Below are 12,626 nucleotides of genomic sequence, written 5' to 3'. Positions count from 1 at the left end.
GTAATTTATTCTACTTTTGAGATCTCATAAATTCCTTAATAACTTCTGATGCCACTTATGAGATTATGTGTCACAATAGTTGAGTATTTATCTTATCTCCCAAACCAAAACTGAAGATCTTGGTAGAAAGTTTGCTTGCCCCACTTTTATATAAACAACAGCTCTACTGCTGTATGTTACTGTAAGATGAGTTACTCATAAGTAAGATGATGTTCCACTGTGCGGGGATCGACACCCCTAATCCTTGTATTATTCAAGGTCAACTGTAGTTCAATAATACAAGGGTTGGGGTGTCAACCCCCACACAGTGGAAAACCTGAGGGTAACTCTTGACGCCCCAAAAACTTAACTACTAATAGCCTACTGTTGACCAAAAGCCTACAGTCAATTAACACATAAATAAACTAGTATCTACATATATTTTGTGCTTTCATGATATACCTAACATTTTACTAATTTCTAAGGTAAGTCTTGATGACATGGTTCGTCTGCATGTGTTTTTAAGTTGTAGCAAATCTCCAAAAAATTGTCAATGTATTTATTGAAAACAATTCATGTATAAATGGATTCAAGTAGTTCAAACCCACATTTTTCAAGAGTCAACTGTAATAAGAACTTCACAATTGCCTACTAACTAGTGCATGTTGATTAACATTATGTAAAATCAAATAGTGTCTTCAAGGAAAATATTTCTTGGGGATTTTAAGATGCTCTGAACTACTTTATACTCCCTCTAATTCTACCTAGTTGCCATTTATCTTAATCTGACTTTGTTGATTTTTCTTGGTATTTCACTACTCAAGTGAAGCTTTCAAGACTGGCTCAGACCACTTGATTTCTTGGAAATTTGTTGTAATCAGCAGTAATCATGAAACTTGCCACTTTATATATCAAAGACTTAAATCTTCCCAACACTAATTCCTAAATCCCTCTCTCTCTGCATTCTCCCCTGGTGTATCTCAATTAGTATTGCTATGAGAATATCACTTCCTCCAGTTCTTACTTTCATCAGGACCCAAAATGAATTTAAATAGACTTCTCCAAAAAAAGAAAATGGCAGTGACGCAAGTCTGTTACAGTTCACTTCTGCAGGTGTTTCTCAGAAGTCTGTGCAAATTCTATTCATTTTACTGCATCAGTTTCTTATTCTGGTGCCCTCACCACAGGTCTGACAGTAACTCTTTTGACGACTACTGTCTTAGTCTGTTTGTGCCACTTGCCATAACAGCATACCTGAGACTAGATAATTTATAAATAACAGAAATTTGTTTCTCAATTCTGGACCCTGGGAAGTCCAAGATCAAGGTGCTGGCATCTGGGGTGAGCCTTCTTGCTGTGACATCACATGGCAGAAGGTAATATGGTCAGAAAGGGGAGAATCGCCCATATCCCCATGGGGTAAAAGAGAAGAAGCCCTTTTAATGGCTTTAATCCATTAATGAGGGTGGGTCCCTCATGACATAAACACTCCCAAAAAGGGGATCAAATTTCCAGCACATGGATTTTGGGTAACACACTCAGACCATATAAAAGTCAGAATGTAACTACACAGCTGACACTGTCATTATAAACTACTTGCACAAACAAGCAAGCCAACAACAATAAAATACTCTTTCATGGGTCTTTAAAGTGGTTAACAGTCTGTAAACATTCAGAACAATTCATTTAAACATAACCAGTAGAAAATAATACCTAAAGCCTGCAGAAGAAATAAATTTCATCTAGACAGTTGCACACAAGCAGAAAGTCTTTTTAAAAACAAAAGACAACACTTTGGATTTCAAAGTCGACTTTAAAGTAAACAAATTCTTCAGGTATGTTAGAGGAGTAATTTCATTTGGTAGGATTTTTGCCTAGAAACTGTGCTGCAAACAATTGCCAGTGACACTGATACCATGGAGTTTTTTTTTTAAGTATACAAATAACTAGCAACTTTATTATACAAATGAGGCATTTACCCATCCAGAGACTTTGTGGTTTATCATAAATGGTATTCATATGCTTTTATATCTGCCTTCTTTCCTGTTAATCGAGTTTATTTCTGCCTTTCTCAGAAGGCCTTATTAAAGCAGTGTTTCCTGATTGTGTTTCCTAGTCAGTATTTCTGCAGATGTTAACGGTAATATTGTAGAAAAAGAGCCCCGTATTCCAGTTGGCTTAGATAAACCTGCACAATCCCCATTCTACATAACATTGTCTGCTACTAGTTGCTAACTATGTGCACTGGATACTCCACACTTACTTTCCCACTCGCTACGACGTGTCTACTTCTTCAGTGCTAACTTCTAGTGAATTAGCATCATTTCTCAGTCATTCTCTTCAAAAGGTTAAAAGTTGGACCACTTTGTGCCATTACATATGTGATTTTCTCTTCATTCAAAAGCCTTGGTGGCAGGCGCCTGTGGTCGCAGCTACTCAGGAGACTGAGGCAGGAGAATGGAGTGAACCCGGGAAGCGGAGCTTGCAGTGAGCGGAGATCGCGCCACTGCACTCCAGCCTCGGCAATACAGCGAGACTCGGTCTCAAAAAAATAATAAATAAATAAATAAATAAATAAGCCTTTCTACATTTTTCACCAGGCAAAACTCCTCCTGTCCAGGTCAGAGGGTGTCTCTGACATGCAGCCTTTCTTCTTTTCCCTAGGCAGAATTTGTTTTCTTCTATATAATACAGGAGAAAAACGTTTCCATGACGTTTTTACACCAAAATTATTCCTTTCCCATAATGACTTTTCTGTATTTGTCTCCTTCAATGGTACCATGACTTTTCAAATGAGGATACTGTTTCTTCTTCTGTGGTTGAGTCATGAGTACCTGGGACAGAGGAGAGTACGCTCATTCTTTAATTGCCTAGGCAGGTCTCTGACAGGCTGAGACTTGATTGTGAAGCAGGGAATGGACAGGCCAGCTAATTTGGGTGGGCTCTCAGCAGACGGAGGTACAATGGGAGGACCAAGACACCAAGTTTAGGATAAAGCAGAGGGGCACTGTGGCCAGACCCCTGAAACCGAGGGGAAAGTGGAGGGACGTGAAGTTAGTTATGGAGGGCAGATAACATAAGTAACTTGGATGTTAACTCAGGATGTTGCATGAAGCCATTGGATGGATTTGAAGAGCTTGACATGATCTGAGCTTTTTCAATGTTTACTTGAAAGACAATGCGTGAGTCTCAACAGGAACATGTTACACAATAATCCCAGCAAGAGATGCAAGATGGAAGCTGAGACTACAGGAAGGATGCAAGGTTAGAGCTGACTTGATTGGCAGGAAGTGAAGGTGTCATATAAAATACAGAGTGGGGTCAAGATTTTGCACCTGCATGAATGAGGATGCTCTGTTTTACGTGAAAACCACTGGAAGCAAAGCAGGTTTGGGAAGAAAATACAGACCTTTTTCTCCTGGGGATATTGAGGGATGTATTCAAGAGTGATTGACAAGAGTCTTCAGTTCATATAACAGGATCATATTAAAGAAAAAGAAATACTGGAAACCCATCGGCATAGAATTAATTTCAACACATGGGGCAGCAGAAGTTCCGAATCAGCCAAATGAGAAGTTGGGTCCAGTGAGTTAGGAGGAGAGTGGCATCCAGGGAGCTAAGAAAGGAAAGCCTTTGGAGAAAAAAGAGAGCATTCAACTGTATTAAAACCTACTTAGTAAGAGGAAGCCTAAGAATTGACCATTGGTTTTTGCATCCGGAGGTCACAGTGGCTTTGGTAAGATCATTTGAGTGGAAGGCTGTGAAGGAAAGCCTGAATAGATGAGAGGAAGACAGTCTTGGAAGGGAGGATGGGAAAATGGAAGGTACACCCAACACTTTGAAAAATTTGTGCTAATGATAACCAGAGTAGGGATATGGTGGCTGGGTGACTGTGAAGTCCAGAGATTGGTGTTGTTAGTTTGTTTTGTTGGTGGTTTTGGTTGTTTATCTCATTCTTAAGATTGACCGTGTAACGCATATTTTTATCTTGATGGAAATAAGAGAATTGATGAAGGGGGAAAAAAAGGATAAACTCCAAGAACAAAATCTTTGCGTTGGTGAGAAGATGGAATTCTGAAGGCAATACACTTTTCTTGTGTTAGACAAAGATGAACATGCACACCTTGCAAATATACTTTGTATAATAATGATTAAGTGATAATTAATATAAGAGAATCCTTAGAAAGCCTAATCAAGATGGTTACAACTAACACACACCTTCTAACCTCATGGTGTTGTTTCAGGCTTTCTGTCCTTCTAAGTTGCTTTCAGAGGATATTGTATAAACTACAATATATAGTAAAAATATACTTAAAGCAAAGAACCATAAGATCATGGTGTTTCTTTATATAAGATAATAGGTATAGCACATAATAATATCAAAATATTCTCCTGTTTGGCAAGAATGTTTTTGTTTGTTTTTTTTTTTTTTTTTTTTTGAGATGGAATCTTGCTCTGTTGCCCAGGCTTGAATGCAGTGGTGCAATCTCAGCTCACTGCAACCTCCACCTCCAGGGTTCAAGCGATTCTTCTGCCTCGGCCTCCCGAGTAGCTGGGATTACAGGCATGCACCACCATGCCCAGCTAATTTTTTTGTTATTTTTTATTTTATTTTATTTTATTTTTAGTAAAGACAGGGTTTCACCGTGTTAGTCAGTCTGGTCTCAAACTCCTGACCTCATGATCCACCCGCCTCTGCCTCCCAAAGTGCTGAGATTACAGGTATGAGCCACAGTGCCTGGAGTTTTCAACTATTTTTAAAGAAATGACAGGAAATGTATGGCTTGAATTGAGTGCACACAGTATATCCTTAGATAGAAGTAGAATGATAACAGCAAGGTATGTGATAATATTATCTGAATTGTGACATCTTTATTTTAATATGTTCTAAAAAGTAAACGTATGATAGGTTGTCAATTAATGTTTGTTGAGTTCAATTAAATGACATTGTCTATATTATTTTCTTTCTGAGTCATACTATGCATAAGTCAAATTAATAAGTATATCTCAAGGTTATCAATGTTAGTTTGAATGTTTTACAGATCCAGAGTAGATTGCTTATCTAAACGCAAAGATAATTCAGAAAGTATCCACCTCAGAGCTTTACCAGTAAGCTAAGTGAGATGAAGGAAGTGTTTAGGTACAGAGTTCCATAAAAGTTTTTATAAAAGTGCAGGTATGAGATCTCAGTGACAAACTCAGCAGATAATGAAAACTAAACTAAAAAAAAAAAAAAGAAGGATCAGATTTGAGGAATACTAAGGGGAAAAGGATCAGTTGGATTTTATATGTCCAGTGAAAATAATGAACCTAAAATTCCGAGTTAGGGGAACCCTAAAGATGGTGTTAGAAAAAAGTAGAAGTAATTTTTTTTAGAAAGATTAGCATAGTTTTCTAAACGTTTCTTCCCCACGGTAAACTAAGAGTGATCTTCATTGTCCCAATTCTTTGCAATAATGCACATCTTTTAGTTGGCCTTTCAAGATTCTCTCTGAAACTCTTCTTACCATTCCAATACCTAAGCATATTTTCCTAGTTGGCTGGCTGACTGTTTGATACTATCTGACAAAACTGGGCATTACAGACTGGGGAAACAGCAAGAAGGAGGAAACCAAACAAATAGGCACTTACCCACACTTTCTCACTTCCCACTGTCAAAACCATGGACTTGATAATGGACCAAGAGGCTGGTGACAGCCAGAGCTCAATTATACGTACATACTACGGAGATCAGAAGGAGTTGGCTGTAAAGAACGTGGCAAACACAGAAGTGAGATATCAGTGCTGACATTTTGAATACTTACTCCCAAAATGCAGCAAAATATCAGACATTTATTTTTTAATTTATATTTAGCACTTCCTTCTTGAATGGTTTATAGTAATTTTAGTACAAAATCTTGTCTACTACTTTTCAATCTCACATGGTTTACAGATTGAAAATAAACAGAGGAAAATTCCACTGTTCCTCACTGAGGTATATTCTAGAGGCAAAATTGGCTCTGATAAGATTTCCAGAAACATAGCCCTGTGCCTTTGCTTTTATGTTATGCTTCATGCGTTAGTTACCAAAAAGCACCTTTGGGAGGGATACAGTAACCAATTTAAGCAATTAGAAATATCAGTAAAATTATTCCACACTCTCAAGCTGACAGTTTTGAAGTGAATTATCTCATTTTAATATGCTATTTGTCTGCTTGTCTTCTAGTTACATAATAATTGTACACATTTATGGGGTGCATGTGATATTTTGATACATGAGTAGAATGTGTGACAAACATATCAAGATACTTAAGAATCCCATCACCTCAAATATTTATTATTTCTTTGTGTTGGGAACATTTCCGATCTTGCCTTTGAGCTATTTTGAAATGTACACTGTATTATTACTCACTATAGTCACCTTACTCTGCTATCAAGTATTAGAACATATTCCTTCTAACTGTATCCTTGTATCCATTGACCAACATCACTTTATCCTTCCCTCCATACACCCCCTTCCCAGCCTCTAGTAATTCTCATTCTTACCTGTCAATTCTTAAAAAAAAAAAAATACTAAATCCCATGTCATTTGTCATAAGACAGTTCATAGTACAAGAAAAAAAATGCACGTAACAGTTATAAGTGTTTGGGGAAAATATATATGTAGGTTTTTTTTTTTTTTTTTAGTAATAGCACTTTTTATTCTTGCTATTTAATCTTTGTGTATTTACCCAAATCCTCATGCATTTACTCTGTCTCTGCATGCCTCAGAATATGACCTGGAGCCATGTGATGATCCTGGAGTCCCTGCCTTCAGCCGAAGAATTGGTTTTCACTTTGGTGTGGGAGACTCTCTGACGTTTTCCTGCTTCCTGGGATATCGTTTAGAAGGTGCCACCAAGCTTACCTGCCTGGGTGGGGGCCGCCGTGTGTGGAGTGCACCTCTGCCAAGGTGTGTGGGTAGGTGGTCACACGCTTTCATTTCATTCATCCATGGGGGCAGGGTCTAGCCCAGGCAAGAAGCCTAGGGTGGTCGGGGTCGGGTGGGGGTTTGTTGACAAGGAAGGAGAGGGTGAAAGTGTGGGCTCCACTCTGCCAACCAGGGGAGAGGGGAGCTGCCTAACTGCTCTGGGCTTGAATTAGCTCATCTATAAAGTAAGTCCCTTTCAGCTCTGAAATTTTATGATTGAACAAGAGTGAAACCAAAGCATGTGTCAAGCATATTTATGAAGGGAAAAAATATATATATACGGAGAGAGAGAAAATCTGGAGCAAAAGAAAAACTGGAAGATAGAAGCCAAGCTATAATAACACAACCTCTGACAATTGCATTGATTAAAAGCAGCACGTGTCCCTTGGTATAACGATGGTGACAATTTTGTTTTTGTTGTCAGTGGCAGCCTTTGATGGGATGATGGTTGCACACTCCTGCTAAGTGGGCACAAGAGGCATCTGAATGCTGAATTCACTTTTTCAGTGTGTTCTGGAGGAATCCAAGAGATAATTCCGAAGAGTAACAGGAATTTTTATTTCGGTACTTTGCCATGAAGTACTAGGCTCACATGCAGGAATTGGCTTGCTGATCCAGTGGGGTGACGTTTATTAGCAATCTGGGAACTGTGCCACTCTAAGAAGTTTAGCAAAGGAGAATCGTAACTGCCGTTGTAGCTTAAATAGGGTGTGTTGTCCACACAGCCAGAGCTCTCGTAGTTAGCTATACGGACAACGTCTAGTTCCTGCCACCCAGCCATGTTGCTCAGCATATTCTGGGTCTTACAAATTGTTCTTTAAAGTTACAGAAAACTGACTAATGTCATTGTGAAGAAAAAAGGGAGATGAGAGATTAACCAAGGTTCTCCTTAATACCAAGCCTTCTGAGTCCATGGGGAGTCCAGAATACGAACCACACTAATTTCACCAGTTAACGAACTGGAGGCAGGTGGGGAAGGTCTGAAGATAAAATTTAACAGTCCATATAAAACACAAACATGTTCACTTAGCATAACTTGTTTAGCATAACTTGTTTTATTTTACCATGGTGCAGAATCTCTTTGATTCTGCCTTTGGGGCAGATTTTTGGGGTTGCTTAGGGATATTATGTAACTCAAATGATAAAGCTATATTTCTGGATTTTAACGAACCAGAGATACACAGTCAGAATTTCGTTATTAAAAAATTAAACAAATAAACATGAATCAAATCATCTGTGTCTGTTTCCAAAACATGTATCTATATATTTTCACAATCTGCTTTTCTCCTAAAATAATGGTTCTTACTGTTTGTGGTTATAATATTTATTTGAGAATGGAAGGCAAATTTTGACTGTTATCTCAAGAAAAAAAATACGGTATTTTGCAGGTGATCATAGGAGTTCCCAGAATTGGTTGGAGTCTAAAGACTCCTGACTGAGATAGTTTGAAATCTGGACAAAACCCCCAACTCAATGAAATCAAGGTGACATCTAGATATGTAACAGTCAGTAGTCTACTGATTATAATGATTAAGACCCATTAAATGTTATTCTATTTCATCCAGAGTCATTATCTTTACACTGTTTTTCTTGTCATTCAGGTTTTTACTCTGTGGTCTAAAATATGAAAACTCAGTAACTAGAGTTGGAAGAATAGGTACTATTTATTAAACAGTGTGTGGTAGACTAGGCACTGCTTCAGGCTCCTTCCATGTAATAACGTGTTTAGTCCCATGACAATTCTACGAAGTAAATGCTGTGATGGACAGTTCCCTGTTACATGTGGAAATGTTAAGACAAAAAGACTCTACAAACTTTGCCCAAGGACACAGAGCTAGGAAGACTCGAACCCAGGGAGCCTGCAACTCAGCCTTTAACCACCGCACTGGACAGGAGGGCCTTGGACAGGCCCTTTTTGTATTTAGCCTTTTGCATTTTGCCTGCAGTTTCCTGATTTTTCCTCCAGCCCCTCTGGTGCATTCGGGTGCTGTCTTCATTTCTCTCTAATTCCCCACACCTGCTTATGTCCTAGCTCTGGAGGATTCTGGCCGCTGCAGAGCTCTCAGTTCAGGCTCCTCCTCCCCACCCTCCTAGCCCCACCTCACTCCAGAACCCCGCAGTCCCCCTGATGCTTTCCCTGGCTCCCCAGACCCCACCAACCCCAGGGGCCGCAGCTCCCAGAATGCTCTCTCCAAAGTGAAAACCCCATCGATTTGCCCAGTGTAACAGAGCCTGGTCAGTGCTTCCCCTACTAATCAGAGCAATCACTCTCCCTCCACGCTGTCCTGGATCAGAGTCCCTCATTCCCTGGCTCTCCAGAGTGCACCCAGTGCTCAGCCAGCAGCCTCCTGCAGACAGATGGAGCCCTCTCAGGCCCACAGAGCACCAGGGCTCTTTCTATAAGGTTGGTGCAAAAGTAATTGCGGTTTTTGCCATTACGTTTTTTTGTTGTTGTTGTTTTGTTTTGAGATGGAGTTTTGTTCTTGTCACCCAGGCTGGAGTGCAGTGGCACGATCTCGGCTCAATGCAACCTCTGCCTCCCAGGTTCAAGCAATTCTCCTGCCTCATCCTCCCGAGTTGCTGGGACTACAGGCACATGCCACCACGCCCGGCTAATTTTTGTATTTTTAGTAAAGACGGGGTTTCACCATGTTGACCAGGCTGGTCTCGGACTCCTGACCATGTGATGTGCCCGCCTTGGCCTCCCAAAGTGCTGGGATTACAGGCGTGAGCCACAGTGCCCGGCCTCAAGTTGTCTTCATCTCTTTGTCTCCCTCCTCAGACTGCTGGCTCCTTTACAGTGGTCTGCCTCATCCCTAAGTTCTGTGTATCCAAAAGAGGAAAATTGCTTTCCTCACAAGGTTCTCTTTTCATCTCAAAAATTTGATTCATCCATGCTTCATGTTCCTTTCTCTAAAATTATAGAAATAAAAATGATTTGCCTGTGGCAAAAAAGAGGCAAATCCATACCAAAGGTTGCAGGTGACACCTAAGGATGTCGACTGAGTTAAAAGTGTGCCGTTTTAACCTCCCTAATAAGTGTCTGACTTAAATGGAATTTCTAGTGAGCATCTGAGCTGAGAACTATTTCTCTCTCTATCAAGTCACTTTGAAATGAAAGAGATGGAAACTTTTTTATTATTTGTGTTTATTCATTTTAGGGTTTTTTTCAACCTGATGATGCATTTAGGATGATAGAAATAGTATCATGTATTCCTTGGGTATTCAACCTCAATGCTCAAACCCTCTCTTCTGGCACCTGTTGGCATGTGCATTACACGTGTATTGTTTAGGATCTTCTTTTTCACTTGCAAATTAGAGAAAAAGTTGCCCACATTGGCTTAAGTCAAAATGAAAGTTTATTGGTAAGGTGATGTAAAGTCCATACCTAGGGACATCTTCAGGTGAGGTTTGATCAAGGGTTCAACCTCATCAACAAGAACCTGAGGTCTCAGCATCTCTCAGTTTTGCCAGTCTGGGTAAAGCACTGGGTGGCTTCCTGATCTCATATCATCACATACAGTGCTGTAGCCCCACATCGTGCAGTTCTGTGGAAACAGCTATGTGAAGATCGCTTATGTACAAGTCCTGGGTTTCCTCTCATTGGCCCACATTGAGTCCCATGCCTATTCCTGAGCAGTCATTGTGGCCAGGGCAGTCGTGATTGGCTTAGCACATTTAGAATTCCATCTGCACAGCTTTTGAATAATAACAAAAACTGAATATTTTGTGATGGTTTGTGACATTTTGGTCAAAAGATCAGGAGCAAAGTTAGAGAGTATATATGATGGAGATAAATGTTTGCTATAATTCCATAACCTAATATTGCATCTATGACATCATTTCAGAATTATTTGAACAAAAAATTTTCTCAGGGTGTTAAAGGGCTGTATGTATACATCAGCATAAGCCTTAAATCCGTATCTAGTAAGAGATTTTTTTAAAAAATGAATGAAAGTGAGATATATATCCTCTTATTGATTAACTGTATTAACTCTATTTGCTTGACAAAGTAGAAAGTCATTGGGCGAAATAAAAAACGAAAAAATATCAACACCCTTATCCTCAGTTTTTGAATGGATTACAAGTTATTTCCGACAGCATAGTGAAACAAAATATCTTGCCTGTATTTTAATTTAATTTATATCTAGTTTAATTTATATCTAGTTTAACACTAAACTCTCTTTCTCTGTCTCTCTATATATATCTATATCTATAGATAGACATATCTATAGATAGATCTATAGATAGACATATCTATAGATATATGTATATCTATATATAGGGAGAGGGTTTAGTGTATCTATATATGTATCTATAGATATATATAGAGAGAGAGAGAGTTTAGTGATATATATATATCACTAAACTGTATATAATTCTATGTAGTTATTTAATTTTGGGTTAAAAAATTGAAACAACGTTCTAAGCTAAAATGTTAGTTTCTGTTGCTTCTTAAAAGCTAATCCAATAACGGCACTAAATTGTAAAAATAAAGGTTTATAGGATAATGAATGGGCTAAAAATAGTACCATTTTGTGAAATTCTTAAATATTCTTCGTGAGTAAATATGGAATTGCATATTTTGATTAATATAGACTTCTATTACGGGCAAGATTTACTTATTTGTTGCGTAGAACACAATGAACTTGGTTTAAAGGAGAAAGGTAGACTTTCTGTTTCTGTTTCTTAGTTGAGCTGTTTTCTATTTCTGTGCTTTTAAAATAAAGCTTCTAAAACATAGAGATCTGCATATTAATAGTTTTCCCAATTTCACAGTGCCCTCAAAAGCCCCACAACAATTTCTACATTTTAATAACCAGAGCCATACACCTTTACTTCCAGCCATTATGTTAAGAAACATCTCTGTTAAATGTGAGGCATTGTATAGGCTCGAGGTTATTTAGGTGGACAAGTTGCTTCAGCTGTAGAATTTGAATCCAATTTAACTGTATTGAATAGGCAGATTGAGAGGTTATATATTTTCACCTACTTTTTAAAATAATTAAATAAATAGTTATTTAATGTCCCCAATAAAATGACCTTGCCGAATATTGAATATGCATTAATTTATACAGACATTTTGGTTAATGCTATGGATTTGGGGCTTCCTAGCCTCCACGTCTGTCTGTTGTTGAGGCCACTCTGTCTGTGGTACTTTGTTACAGCAGGCCAAGCAGACTGAGACAGGAAATTTCACAGGTAGATTCCTTTGTACAGAAGAATTGACTGAAAAATCAATTAACTCCTTTCTTCTGTGTTAATTTCATTTTAATTAGTTTCATTCAATTGCAAAAATCTAAGTGACAATTCAATTATAGTTAACATTTCAGTAGCTTTTTTATAAAACAGCAAGTGATTTGTATTAAGAAACTGTGTTCATTCATCTTAAATTAGTATTAAATAGACTATTGAAAAACTTTTTTAAAATGAAACATTTAATTCTGCTAATGGTGATTTTCAATGAATGTTTTAAATCAAGCTCAAATAATTTTTGAAATTTTGGTCACTTAACTCTTGTGATTTTCTGAGCACTTGCTCTTTACTTAATGTCAGTGTCTTATTAAATTACGTCCTACGGGATACTGCCCCAGGGTCTGGAGCGCTCTCGCAGTTTCTTTGACACATCCATTCTTTCATTTGAATATCATGTTGTATCTGTTTTTGTGTACTAGGAGGCCACCTGCACAGCTTTGGA

The 12,626-nt window shown here is 38.4% G+C and overlaps 1 protein-coding gene across 4 annotated transcripts in view; it reads left to right on the top strand.

The window, feature by feature from the left end:
• Positions 1-12,626, top strand: part of CSMD1 (CUB and Sushi multiple domains 1) — a 2,059,554-nt gene that overhangs the window by 1,628,845 nt on the left and 418,083 nt on the right. For all 4 annotated transcript variants that reach the window (XM_011534752.3, NM_033225.6, XM_011534753.4 and 1 more), the window contains one exon: positions 6,730-6,918. In XM_011534752.3, coding sequence (XP_011533054.1) covers positions 6,730-6,918 — 189 coding nt within the window. The remainder of the gene's footprint in view (positions 1-6,729; positions 6,919-12,626) is intronic.

This window comes from Homo sapiens, chromosome 8 (genome assembly GCF_000001405.40).
Source record: "Homo sapiens chromosome 8, GRCh38.p14 Primary Assembly".
NCBI lineage: Eukaryota > Metazoa > Chordata > Mammalia > Primates > Hominidae > Homo > Homo sapiens.
This window is presented reverse-complemented; position numbering and strand designations above follow the sequence as displayed.